The 15457-nt window shown below is 39.9% G+C and overlaps 1 annotated feature.

Moving 5' to 3' along the window:
• Positions 1707-2639: an enhancer, noted in NCBI's record as "NANOG hESC enhancer chr21:10828675-10829607 (GRCh37/hg19 assembly coordinates)". NCBI's record gives its function as "activates a minimal SCP1, AML or CMV promoter by ChIP-STARR-seq in naive H9 embryonic stem cells {active_cell/tissue: H9 hESC(naive)}" and the evidence as "EXISTENCE:reporter gene assay evidence [ECO:0000049][PMID:30033119]".

The raw sequence follows: 15457 nt of genomic DNA on the forward strand, positions 1-15457 counted from the left end.
TTCGAGACCATTCAATTCCATTCCATTTCATTCAAATCCATTCCATTCCATTACTTTCGTGTCCATTCCATTCCATTCCATTCGAGTCCATTCCATTCTATTCAGTTCGATTCCATTCCATTCCATTCCATTAGATTCCATTCCATTAGAGTCCGTTCAATTAAATTCCATTCCATTCCATTCGAGTCTATTCCATTCCATTCGAGTCCATTCCACTGCATTCTGTTCGTGTCCGTTCCATTCCATTCCATTCTCTTCCATTCAAGTCCATTGCATTCCATTCCATTCCATTCCATTCCATTCCATTCAAGTACATTCCATTCCGTTCCATTCCATTCAAGTACATTCCATTCCATTCCATTCCCATCCATTCCAATTGGGTCCGTTTCCTTCCATTTTATTCTAGTCCATTCCATTCTATTCTTGTACCTTACATTCCATTCCATTCGAGCCCATTCCATTCCACTCAATTCCTTTCGATTCCATTCAATTCTATTCCATTCGAGTCCATTTCCTTCCATTCCCTTCGAGTCCGTTCTGTTCCATTCCTTTCTATTCCAGGCAAGTCCATTCCACTCCATTTCATTCCATTCCATTCCAGTACATTCCAATACATTCCATTCCATTTCATTCGGGTCCATTCATTTCCATTCCTTTCAAGTCCATTCCATTCCATTCCATTAGGATCCATTCCTTTCCATTCCATTCGAGTCCATTGCATTGCATTCGTGTCCGTTGCATTCGAGTCCATTCCATTCTACTCCATTCTTTTCGGGTCCATTCCATTCCAGCCCATTCCACTCGAGTCCATTCCATTCCTTTCCATATTTCACTCGAGTTGATTCCATTCCATTCCATTCGAGTACATTCCATTCCATTCCATTCCATTCCTTTTGAATCCATTCAATTCAATTGCATTCCATTCGAGTCCATTCAATTTCACTCCATTCCATTGCATTCCGTTTCATTCCATTCCATTGCATTCCATTTCATGCCATTCCATTCCATTCCTTTCGAGTCCATTTCATTCCATTCCAATCCATTCCATTCAATTCGAGTCCATATCATTCCAGTACATTCCTTTCCATTCGAGTCCATTCAAATCGGCTACATTCCATTCCATTCGAGTCCATTCAATTCATTGTTGGTGGGACTGTAAACTAGTTCAACCATTGTGGAAGTCAGTGTGGCGATTCCTCAGGGATCTAGAACTAGAAATACCATTTGACCCAGCCATCCCATTACTGGGTATATACCCAAAGGACTATAAATCATGCTGCTATAAAGACACATGCACACGTATGTTTATTGCGGCATTATTCACAATAGCAAAGACTTGGAACCAACCCAAATGTCCAACAGTGATAGACTGGATCAAGAAAATGTGGCACATATACACCATGGAATACTATGCAGCCATAAAAAATGATGAGTTCATGTCCTTTGTAGGGACGTGGATGAAATTGGAAATCATCATTCTCAGTAAACTATCGCAAGAACAGAAAACCAAACACCGCATATTCTCACTCATAGGTGGGAATTGAACAATGAGATCACATGGACACAGGAAGGGGAATATCACACTCTGGGGACTGTTGTGGGGTGGGGGGAGGGGGGAGGAATAGCATCGGGATATATACTTAATGCTAGATGATGAGTTACTGGGTGCAGTGCACCAGCATGGCACATGTATACATATGTAACTAACCTGCACAATGAGCACATGTACCCTAAAACTTAAAGTATAATAAAAAATAAAACAAAATAAAAAAAAGAAAAAAAATTCCATTCCATTTCATTCGAATCCTTTAGACTCCATTCCATTTGACTCCATTCCATTTCATTCCATGCGAATCCATTCCATTCCATTCTATTCCATTCTATTTTATTCGAGTCCATTCCATTCCATTCCATTCCATTCCATTCGAGACCATTACAATCCATTCTATTCCTTTTGAATCCATTCTATTCCATTCCATTCGCGTCCATTCCATTCGAGTCCATTCCATTCCATTCGTGTCCATTAAATTCCATTACATTGCATTTGAATCCATTCCAGTCCATTCCATTCCACTCCATTAGACTACATACCATTCCTTTCCATTCCATTCCATTCGAGTCAATTCCATTGCAATCCATTCGGGGCCATTCCATTGCATTCCATTCGAGTCCATTCCATTCCATTCCATTCCATTACATTCTATTAGACTCCATTCCATTCCAGTCGAGTCAATTCTATTCCATTCCATTCTAGTCTATTCCATTGCATTCCATTCGTGTCCATTCCATTCCATTCGAGTCCATTCCATTACATTCTATTCGAGTGCATTCCATTCCATTCTATTCCATTCCATTCCAGCCCATTCCACTAGTGTCCATTCCATTCTATTACATATTCCATTGCACTCGAGTTGACTCCATTCCATTCCATTCCATTCGAGGGCATTCCGTTCCATGCGAATCCATTGTATTCTATTCAACTCTAGTCCCTCCATTCCATTCCATTCCATTCGAGTCCATTGCATTCCATCCGTTCCTTTCCATTTGAGTCCATTCCATTCCAGTCCATTCTATTCCAGTCCATTCCACCCGAGTCCATTCCGTTACATTCCGTATTCCATTCCACTCGAATTGATTCCATTCCATTCATTCCATTCGAGGGCACTCCCTTCAATTCGAGTCCATTCCATTCCATTCCAGTTGAGTCCATTCTATTCGATTCCATTCCATTCCTTGCCATTCAATTCCTTTCGAGTCCATTCAATTCAATTGCATTCCATTCGAGTCCATTCAAATACATTACATAAAATTCCAATCCATTCCATTTCATTCCATTCCATTCCATTTGAGTCCATTTCATTCCATTACATTTCATTCCATTCTAGTCCATTCCAATCGGTTCATTCCACTCCATTTGAGTCCATTCAATTCCATCCTTTTTATTCGAATCCATTCCACTCCACTCCTTTCGAGTCCATTCCATTCTACTCCATTCCATTCGACTCCATTCCATTTCATTCCATTCGAGGACATTCCATTCCATTCCATTCTATTCGATTCGATTCCATTCCATTCTATTTGAGTCCATTCCATTTCATTCAAGTCCATTCCATTCCTTTCCATTAGAGTCCATTCCAATCCATTCTATTCCTTTTGAATCCTCCATTCCATTCCATTCCATTCGAGTCCGTTCCACTCGTGTACATTCCATTCCCTTTGTGTCCAATCAAATCCATTATATTTCATTCGAGTCCATTCCATTCCATTCCATTCGAGTCCATTCCATTCCATTCCAATTCATTCCATTCTGTCCATTCCATTCAATTCCATTCGAGTCAATTCCATTAAATTCCATTGTATCCCATTAGATTCCATTCCATTCCATTACTTTCCATTCGAGTCCATTACATTCAATTCTATTCGAGTACATTGCATGCCATTTGAGTCCGTTCCATTCCATTAAATTCCAGTCGAGTCCATTCAATTCCATTCCACTCAGGTCCATTCCATTCCAATCCATTCCATTCCATTCCATTCCATTCCATTCCATTCCATTCCATCCCATCCCACTGCATTTGATTCCTTTCCGTTACGTTCTTTTCCATTCATTTCAGTTCCATTATATTCGATTCCGTTCGAGTCCATTCCATTCCATTCAATTCCAATCGATTCCATTTCATTCCATTCCATTCGAGTCCATTCCATTACGTTCCATTAGAGTCCATTCCATTCCATTCGATTCCATTCCATTCGAATCCATCCCATTCGAGCCCATTCCACTCCATTCCATTCGAGTTCGTTCCATTCCATTCCATTCCATTCTATTCCATTATATTCCACTCCATTACATTTGAGTCCATTCCATTCCATTCGAGTGCATTCTATTCAAATCCATTCTAGTCCATTAAATTCCAATCAATTCCATTCGAGTCCATTCCATTCCATTCGGGTGCATTCCATTCCATTCCATTCGAGTCCATTCCATCGCATTTCATTCCATTCCTTATGAGTCCATTAAATTACATTGCATTCAATTCAAGTCCATTCCATTCTATTCCATTAGATTCCATTCCGTTCCACTCCACTCGATTCAGGGCAATTCCATGCCATTCCATTCCATTCCATTCCATTCCATTCCATTCCATTCCATTCCATTGCATTCGAGTCCATTCCATTCCATTCCAATCCATTCGAGACCAATAAATTCCATTCCATTCCATTCCATTCCATTCCATTCCATTCCATTCCATTCCATTCTTTTCGAGTCCATTCTAATCCATTCAAGTCAATTCCATTTCATTCCATTCCATTCCATTCCATTCCATTCCAAACTGTTCTATGCCATGCCATTCCATTTGACTGCATTCCATTCCATTCCATTCGAGTCCATTCCAATTCATTCCATTACATTAGTTTCCATTCCATTCTATTGAATTTGTGTCCTTTCCCTCCCATTGCATTCGAGTCCATTCCATTCCATTTCTTTCCATTCCATTCCATTCCATTTCATTCCATTGGAGACCATTCCATTCCATTCGAGTCCATTCCATACCTTTCCATTTCATTCGAATCCATTGTATTCCATTCCATTCTGTTCGAGTCCATTCCTTTCCATTCCATTCCATTCCTTTCGACTCCATTCTATTCCATTACCTTCCATTCCATTAGAGTTCATTCCACTCCAATCCATTCCATTCGAGTCCATTCCATTCTTTTCATTCCATTCCATTCCATTTGAGTGCATTCCATTTCACTGGAGTCCATTCCATTCCATTCTATTCCATTCGATACCTTTCCTTTCCATTCGAGTCCATTCCATTCCATTCAGTTCGAGTCCATTACTTTCTATTACATTACATTGCATTACATTTGAGTGTATTCCTTTCCATTACATTCCATTCCATCTGTGTTCATTCCATTCCATTCCATTCAAGTTCATTCCATTCCATTCAATTTCATTCCATTCCATTCCACTTTATTCAACTTCCCCCCATTCCATTCCATTCCATTCGTCTCCATTTCATTGCATTCCATTCCATTCGAATCCATTCCATTCCATTCAATTCCATGCGAGTCTATTCAATTCCGTTGCATTTCATTCCATTCAATTAGGCTCCATTCCTTTCCATTTCATTCCATTCGCGTCCATTACATTCCATTCCTATGGAGTCCATTACTTTCCATTCTATTCAGGTCCATTCCATTCCATTCCAATCCATTCCATTGCATTCGAGTGCATTCCATTCCATTCCATTGCATTTGAGTCCATTCAATTCCATTTCATTCATATCCGTTCCATTACATTCCATTCTTTTCGAGTCCATTCCATTCCATTCAATTTCATTCGAGTCTATTCCATTACATTCCATTGGAGTCCAATCCATTCCTTTCCATTCCTTTCGATTCCATTCCATTCCATTCGAGTCCATTCCATTCCAATCCATTCCAGTCCATTTGATTGCATTCCATTCCATTTTTTCGAGTGCGTTCAATTCCATTCCATTCCATTCGAATACTTTCTTTTCCATTCCATTCAAGAACTTGCCATTGCATGCCATTCCATTCAAGTCCATCCCATTCCATTCCATTCAAGTCCATCCCATTCAATTTTATCCATTCGAGTCCATTCCATTCCACTCCATTCCTTTGGAGTCCATTCCATTCCATTCTACTGCATTCCATTCCAATCCATTCGAGTCAATTCCGTCGTATTCCATTCCTTTCCTTTTGAGTCCATTCAATTCCCTTCCAATCCATTTGAGTCCACTTTATTCCATTCCAGTCCATTCAAGTCCATTCCTTTTCATTCCATTCCATTCAAGTCCATTAAATTCCATTCCATTCCATTCCATTCGAGTCCATTAAATTGCACTCCATTCCATTTGAGTCAATTCCATTGCATTTGACTAAATTCCATTCATTCCCTTTGAGTTCATTCCATTCCATTCCATTCGAGACCATTCTATTCCATTCCATTCGAGTCCATTGCATTATACTCCATTTGATTCAAGTCCATTCAATTCTATTCCATTCCAGTCGAATGCATTCCACTCCATTCCATTCGAGTCCATTCCCTTCCATTGTATTCAAGTCATTCCATTCCATTCTATTCAGGTCCATTCCATTCCATTCCATTCCATTTAATCCCATTCCATTCCACTGCATTCCAGAACATTCCATTCCATTCCATTGCATTCCAATAAATTCCTTTCCATTCCTTTCCATTCCATTGCATTCGAGTCCATGCCATTCCTTTCCATTCATGTCCATTCCATTCCGTTCTGCTCAAGTCCATTCCATTCCATTCAATTCCAATCGAGTCCATTCCATTCGAGTCCGTTCCATTCCATTCAATTCCTTTCTAGTCCATTCCATTCCATTTGAGTCCATTCCATTCCAATGCATTCCAGTGCACTGCATTGCATTCCATTCCATTCTTTCGAGACCATTCAAATCCATTCCATTCAATTCAGGTCCTCTCCATTCCATTTCATTCAAGGTCTTTCCATTGCATATCATTCCATTCGAGTACATTATATTATATTCCATTCGAGTCCATACCATCCCATTCCATTCCATTCAGGTCCGTTCCATTCGAGTTCATTCCCTTCGAATCCATTCCATTCACTTCGATTGCATTCCATTCCATTTCATTCGAGTCCTTTCCATCGTATCTCATTCCTTTCCTTTCGGGTCCATTCAATTCCATTCCAAACCATTCGAGTCATTTCCATTCCATTCCAATACATTTGAGTCCATTCCATTCCATACGAATCCATTAATTTGCATTCCACTCCATTCGTGTCCATTCCATTCAATTCAATTCGAGTCCATTCCATTCCATTCCATTCAAGTCCATTCCATTCAATTCCATTCTTTTCCATTCAAGTCCATTCCATTTCATTCCATTCCATTCGAGTTCATTCCATTGCATTTGAGTAATTTCCGTTCCATTTGAGTCCATTCCATTCCGTTCGAGTCCATTCTTTTCCATTCCATTATGTTCTACTCATTTCCATGCCATTCCATTCCAGTCGAGTCCATTTCATTCCTTTCCATTCTATTCAATTCCGTTCCATACCGTTCGAGTCCATTCCACTCCACTCCCCTCGAGTCCATTGGATTCCATTCCATTCCACCTGAGTCCATTCCATTCCACCTGTGTGCAGTCCATTCCATTCCATTCGAGTCCAGTCCATTCCATTCGAGTCCATTCCATTTAATTCCATTTGATTCCATTCCATTCCATTCCATTCCATTCCATTCCATTATATTTCTTTCAAGTAAATTCAATTCAATTGCATTCCGTTTGAGGCCATTCCATTCCATTCCGTTGAGTCCATTCCTTTCCATTCCATTAACTTCGAGTTCATTCCATTCCATTCCATTCCATTCAATTTGAATCCATTCAATTTCATTCCATTCCATTCCATTCGTGTCCATTCTATTCCATTCCATTCCACTCGAGTTCATTCCATTCCAATCCTTTCGAGTCCAATCCATTCCATTCCATTCCATTCCATTCTTTTCAAGTCCATGCCACTCCATTTCTTTCGAGTCCATTCCATTCCACTCCATTCCATTTGAGTCCATTGCATTCTATTCCATTCGAGTCCATACATTTCCATTCCATTTAGGTCCATTCCCTTCCATTCTATTCCATTCCAGTCCATTCCATTCAATTGCATTGCATTCCTGTCCAATCTATTCCATTTGGGTCCATTCCATTCCATTCCATTCGAGTCCATTGCATTCCATTATATTCCATTTGATTCCTTTCCATTCAAGTGCATTCCTTTCCAAACCATTCAATTCGAATCCATTCCATTCCATTCCATTCAAGTCCATTCCTTTCAATTCCGTTCCATTCGAGTCCATATCTTTCCATTCCATACTATTTGAGTCCATTCCATTCCATTCCATTCCATACGGGTCCATACCCTTCAATTCCATTCGAGTGAATTCGATTCCATTTCATTTGATTCTATTCCATTGAATTCAATTCCATCACATTCGAGACCATTCAATTCCGTTACATTCCTTTCGAGCCCATTCCATTCCATTCCATTCGAGTTTATTCCATTGCATTTCATTCCCTTCGAGTATATTCCTTTACATTCCATTCGAGTCAATTCCATTCCATTCAACTGGTCTCCATTCCATTAGAATCCATTTCATTAAATTCCATTCCATTCATTCGAGTCCATTCCCCTCCATTTCAGTCCACTCAATTCCATTCCATTTCAGTCCATTCCATTCCTTTGTATTCCATTCGAATCCATTCCTTTCCATTCCAGTCCATTCCATTCCATTCCAGTCCATTGCATTCCATTCCATTCCAGTCTTTTCCATTCCATTCGGGTCCATTGCATTCCTTTCAATTTGAGTCCATTTAATTGCATTCCATTCCATTCGATTCGAGCCCAATCCATTCCATTCCATTCCTTTCAGGTTCATTCCTTTCCATTCCATTCCATTCGAGTTCATTCCGTTCCGTTACATTCCATTCCTTTCGAGTCCATTCCATTCCATTCCATTCCATTCAAGTGCAGTCCAATCCATTCTGTTCGACTCCATTCCATTCCATTCAAGTCCATTCCTCTCCATTGCATTCGAGTCAATTGCATTACATGCTATTCTATTCCAGTCCATTCCATTCCATTCCTTTCCATTCCATTCCATTAGAGTCCATTCCATTCCATTCCATTCAACTCCATTGCGTTGCATTCCAATCCAATTTGGTCCATTCCTTTCCATTCCATTACATTCGAGTCCATTATTTTCCATAACATTCCATTCCATTTGGGTGCATTCCATGGCATTCAATTCAAGTCCAGTATATTCCACTCCATTCCATTCAAGTCCATTCCATTCCATTCCATTCCATTCCACTCCATTCCATTCGAATCCATTCCATTCCATTCCATTCGAACACATTTCGTTCATTTTCATTCCATTCCATTCGAGTTCATTCCACTCTGTTACAACAAATTCCATCCTAGTCCATTCAATACAATTCCATCCCATATGGGTCCATTCCACTCCATTCCGTTCGAGCTAATTCCATTCTATTTGAGTCCATTCCATTCCATTGTATTCGAATCCATTCCGTTCCATGCTATTACATTTGAGTCCATTCCATTCCATTCCATTCGAGTCCATTCCATTCAAACCCATTCCAATCCAGTCCATTCTGTTCCATTTCATTCTTTTCCATTCCATTCCATTCCATTCCATTCCATTCCATTCCATTCCATTCCATTCCATTTGAGGCAAATCCATTCCATTGGATTCAATTCGAGTCCATTCCATTCCATTTCATTCCATTCGGGTCCATTCCCTTCAAGTCCTTTTGAGTCATTTCCATTCCATTCCTTTGAGTCCATTCCATTGCATTCCATTCCATTCGAATCCATTCCATTCCATTCCATTGGATTCCATTCCATTGTATTCCATCCGACTCCTTTGGAGTCCATCCAATTACATTCCATTCCATTCGAGTCCATTCTATTGTATTCCATTGGTGTCCATTCCATTCCATTCCATTCCATTCCATTCCATTCCATTCCATTCCATTCGAGTGTTTTCCATTCTATTCCATTCAAGTCCATTCCATTCCACACCATTAGTGTCCTTTCCATTAAAATTCCATTGTATTCCATTCCAGTTCATTGCATTCCTTTCCATTCCTTTCGTGTCCATTTCATTCCATTCTATTCGATTCCATTGCATTCCATTCGAGTCCATTCTGTTCCATTCCATTCTATTCCATTCGAGACCATTCCATTGCATTCCACTGGATTGCATTCCTTTAAATTCCAATTTATTCTATTTGAGTCCATTCCATTCAATTCCTGGACTTCCCATTCCATTGGAGTCCATTCCATTCCATTCCTTTTTAATTCATTCCATTCCATCCTATTCTATTCCATTCATGTCCAATCAAATCCATAACATTCCCTTCCATTGCATTCCATTGCATTCCATTCCATTCCATTCCATTACATTCCATTCCAGTCGGTTCCATTCCCTTTCATTCCATTCGAATGCAATCCATCCCATTCTACCCTATTCAGGTCCACTCCATTTCATTCAATTCGAGCCCATTCCTTTCTGTTCCATTACATTCCATTCGGGGCCATTCCACTCCATTCCATAGGAGTCCATTCCATAACATTACATTCCGTTTGATTCAAGTTCACTAAATTCCTTTCCATTTCAATCGAGTCCATTCCATTGCCTTCCATTCTATTCGAGTCCATTCGTTTCTATTCCATTCGAGTCAATTCCATTCCATTCCATTCGAATGCATTCCATTCCATTCCATTCCACTCCATTCCTATCCATTGGGTCCATTCCTTTCCATTCCATTCCATTCGAGTCCTTTTCTTTCCTTTACATTCCATTCGAGTCCATTCCATTCAATTCCTTTCGAGTCCTTTCAATTAAATTCCATTCCATTCAAGTCCATGCCACTCCATTCCATACGAGTCCATTCCATTCTACTCCATTCCATTCGTGTCCATTGCATTCTATTCCATTTGTTTGCATTCTTTTCCATTCCATTCGAGTCCATTCCATTCCATTATATTCCATTCGACTCCATTCCATTCAATTTCATTCCACTCCAGTCCAATCTATTCCATTCGAATCCATTCCATTCCATTCTATTCCATTTGAGTCCATTCCATTCCATTTCATTCGTGTCTATTCCATTCCAAACCATTCCATTCGAATCCATTCCATTCCATTCCATTCCAGTCCATTCCATTCAACTCCATTCCATTCAAATCCATTCCATTCCATTCCATTCAAGTCCATTCCATTGAACTCCATTCAATTCGAGTCCATACATTTCCATTCCATTCTACTCGAGTACATTCCACTCCATTCCATTCCATTCGTGACCATACCATTCAATTCCATTCGAGTCAAATCCATTCCATTCCATTCGATTCCATTCCTTTGCATTCCATTCTATCCCTTTTGAGACCATTCATTTCCATTCCATTCCATTAGAGCCCAGTCCTTTCCATTCCATTTGAGTCCATTCCATTGCATTCCTTTCCATTCAAGTATATTCCATTCTATTCCATTCAATTCAATTCCATTCCATTCCTTTGGACTCCATTCCATTAGAATCCATTCCATTAAATTCCGTTCCATTCCATTCGAGTCCATTCCATTCCATTTTAGTCCATTCAATTCCATTCCATTTGAGTCCATTCCATTCCATTCCATTCCATTCCATTCCATTCCATTCCATTCCATTCCATTCCATTCCATTCCATTCTATTCTATTCAAATCCATTCCAGTCATTTCCATTCCATTCCATTCCATTCCATTCCATTCCAGTCCATTCCATTCCATTCGGGTCCAGTCCATTCCATTCCATTCGAGTCTTTTCTATTCCTTTCGAGTCCATTGCATTCCAATCCATTTGAGTCCATTCCATTCCATTCGAGTCCATTCCTTTCCATTCCTTTCCATTCCATTCAAGTCCATTCCATTCCTTTTGGGTCCATTCCGTTCCATTCCATTCCATTCCAGTCCATTCCACTGGAGTCCATTCCATTCCATTCCATTCCATTCCATTCCATTGCATTCCATTCCATTCCATTCCATTCCATTCCATTCCATTGCATTCCATTCCATTCCATTCCATTCCATTCCATTCCATTCCATTGCATTCCATTCCATTCCATTCCATTCCATTCCATTCCATTCCATTCCGTTGCATTCCATTCCATTCCATTCCATTGCATTCCATTCCATTCCATTGCATTCCATTCCATTCCATTCCATTCCATTGCATTCCATTCCATTCCATTCCATTGCATTCCATTCCATTCCATTGCATTCCATTCCATTCCATTCCATTCCATTGCATTCCATTCCATTCCATTCCATTCCATTCCATTCCATTCCATTTCATTGCATTCCATTCCATTCCATTCATTTCTGGTCCATTCCATTTCATTCCAGTCGAGTCCATTCCATTCTAAGCCATTCTACTTGAGTCTCTTCCATTCCATTTCATTTGACTCCATTCCATTCCATGCTATTCCATTTCAGTCCATTCCATTCCATTCCACTCGGGTCCATTCCATTCCATTCCATTAGAGTCCATTGCATTCCATTGCACTCCATTTTGGTCCATTCCATTCTTTCCGTTCCATTCGAGTCCTTTATTTTCCATAACATTCCATTCCATTCACGTGCATTCCATGCCATTCCATTAGAGTCCAGTCCATTCCACTCAATTGCATTCGAGTCCGTTCCATTCCATTCAAGTTCATTCTATTCCATTCCATTCGAGACCACTGCATTCCATAACATTCCATTCCATTACTTTTGGGTCCATTCAATTCAACTGCATTCCATTCGTGTCCATTCCACTGCATTCCATTCCATTCCATTCCATTCCATTCCATTCCATTCCATTCCATTCTATTCCAACCCTTTCAATTCCACTCCATTCCTTTAGAGTCCATTCCTTTCCATTGGAGCACATTTCATTCCTTTACGTTACATTCCATTCGAGTTCATTCCATTCCATAACATTTAATTCCATTCAAGTCCATTGAGGGCCATTACATTCCATATGAGTCCATTCCACTCCATTCCGTTCGAGTCCATTCCATTCCTTTCGAGTCCATTCCATTCCATTGTATTTGAGTCCATTCCATTCCATGGTATTCTGTTTGAGTCCATTCTGTTCCATTCCATTCCATACAAACCCATTCCACTCCAGTCCATTCTATTCCATTCCATTCTTTTCCATTCCATTCCATTTGAGCCCAATCCATTCCATTGCATTGAATTCCAGTCCATTCCATTCCATTCGGGTCCATTCCCTTCAAACCCATTCGAATCAATTCCATTCCATTCCTTCGAGTCCATTCCATTGCAATCCTTTCCATTCGAGTCCATTCCATTCCATTCCACTGGATTGCATTCCATTGTATTACATCCGAATCCTTTCGAGTCCATTCAATTCCATTCCATTCAATTCGAGTCCATTCCATTCTATTCCATTTGAGTCCGTTCCATTCCATTCCATTCCATTCCATTGGATTGCATTCCATTGTATTACAGCCGAATCCTTTCGAGTCCATTCAATTCCATTCCATTCAATTCGAGTCCATTCCATTCTATTCCATTCAAGTCTGTTCCATTACATTCCATTCCATTCGAGTCTATTCCATTCAATTCCATTCCATTCCATTCCATTAGTTTCCTTTCCATTAAAATTCCATTGTATTCCATTCCAGTTAATTCCATTCCATTTCATTCCATTCGTGTGCATTTCATACCATTAGAGTCCATTCCATTCCATTCAATTTGAGTCCATTCCATTCCATTCTATTCCATTCGAGATCATTCCATTGCAGTCCATTGGAGTCCATTACTTTAAGTTCCATTCTGTTACATTCGAGTCCGTTCCATTCCATTCCATTCAATTCCTGGCCTTTCCATTCCGTTGGAGTCTATTCCATTCCATTCTTTTTGAAGTGATTCCATTCCATCCCATTCTATTCTATTATTGTCCATTCCAATCCATATCATTTCATTGCATTGCATTCCATTGCATTCCATACCATTCCATTCGTGTCCATTCCCTTTTATTCCATTCGAGTGCATTCCATTCCATTCCATGCCATTCGGCTCCACTTCATTCTATTCCATTCGAGTCCATGCCTTTCCATTCCATTCCATTCCATTCAGGTCCATTTCTTTCCATTACATACGAGTACATTCCATAACATTACATACCATTCGATTCGAGTACATTAAATTCCTTTCCATTCCATTCTAGTCCACTCCACTCCATTGCATTCGAGTCCATTCGATTTCATTCCTTTCTATTCGAGTCCATTCATTCTATTCCATTCTAGTCCATTCCTTTCCATTCCATTCTATTCCATTCAGGTCCATGGCATTCCATTACATACGAGTCCATTCCATAACATTATATTCCATTCGATTCAAGTACATTAAATTCCTTTCCATTCCTTTCGAGTCCACTCCACTGCATTGCATTCAAGTCCCTTCCATTTCATTCCTTTCTATTCGTGTCCATTACTTTCTATTCCATTCGATTCAATTCCATTTCATTCCATTCGATTGCATTCCATTCCACTCTATTCTTCTCCATCGAGTCCATTCCTTTCCATTATATTACATTGGAGCCCTTTTCATTCTGTTACATTCCATTCAAGTCCCTCCATTCCATTCCTTTTGAGTCCATTCAATTAAATTCCATTCCATTCAGTCCATGCCACTCTATTCCATACGAGTCCATTCCATTCCACTGCATTCCATTCGTGTCCACTGCATGCTATTCCATTTGAGTCCACGCATTTCCATTCCATTCGAGTCCATTCCATTTCATTATATTCCCTTCAAGTCCATCCCTTTCAATTGCATTCCATTCGAGTCCAATCCATTCCATTATAGTCCATTCCATCCATTCCATTCTATTCCATTTGGGTCCATTCCATTCCATTTCATTCGTGTCTATTCCAAACCAATACATTCCATTTGAATCCATTCCATTCCATTCCCTTCCATTCCATTCCATTTGAGTCCATTCCATTCAATTCCATTCCTTTCGAGTCCATACCTTTTCATTCCGTACTACTCGAGTACATTCCATTCCATTCCATTCCATTTGGGTCCACACCCTTCAATTCTATTCGAGTCAAATCCATTCCATTCCATTCGATTCCACTCCATTGCATTCCATTCCATCCCTTTCGAGACCATTCAATTCCATTCCATTCCATTCGAGACCATTCCATTCCATTCCATTTGAGTGCATTCCATTGCATTCCAGTCCAGTCGAGTACATTCCATTCTATTCCATTCGATTCCATTCCTTTCCATTCCATTCCATTGGACTCCATTCCATTAGAATCCATTTCATTAAACTCCATTCCATTCCATTTGAGTCCATTCCATTCCATACGAGTACATTCAATTCCATTCCATTTGAGTCCATTCCATTCCATTCCATTCTGTTCCATTCAAGTCCATTCCATTCCATTACAGTCCATTCCATTTCATTCGGGTCCTGTCTGTTCCATTCCATTCGAGTCTTTTCCATTCCATTCACTTCCATTGCCTTCCATTCCATTCCTTTCCATTCCATTCCATTTGAGTCCATTCCATTCCATTCCATTTTAGTCTATTCCATTGCATTCATTTCCATTCCATTTTAGTCTATTCCATTCCATTCCTTTCCATTCCATTCAATTCCATTCCATTCCTTTCAAGTCCATTCCATTCCATTCCATTCGAGTCCATCCCTTTCCAGCCCATTCCACTCGAGTCCATTACATTCCGTTTCATATTCCATTGCACTCCAGTTGATTCCATTCCATTCCATTCCATTCGACAGCATTCCTTTCCATTCGAGTCCATTCCATTCCATTCAAATCCATTCCATTCCAT

The sequence above is a fragment of the Homo sapiens genome, chromosome 21 (genome assembly GCF_000001405.40).
Source record: "Homo sapiens chromosome 21, GRCh38.p14 Primary Assembly".
In the NCBI taxonomy this organism is placed as follows: domain Eukaryota; kingdom Metazoa; phylum Chordata; class Mammalia; order Primates; family Hominidae; genus Homo; species Homo sapiens.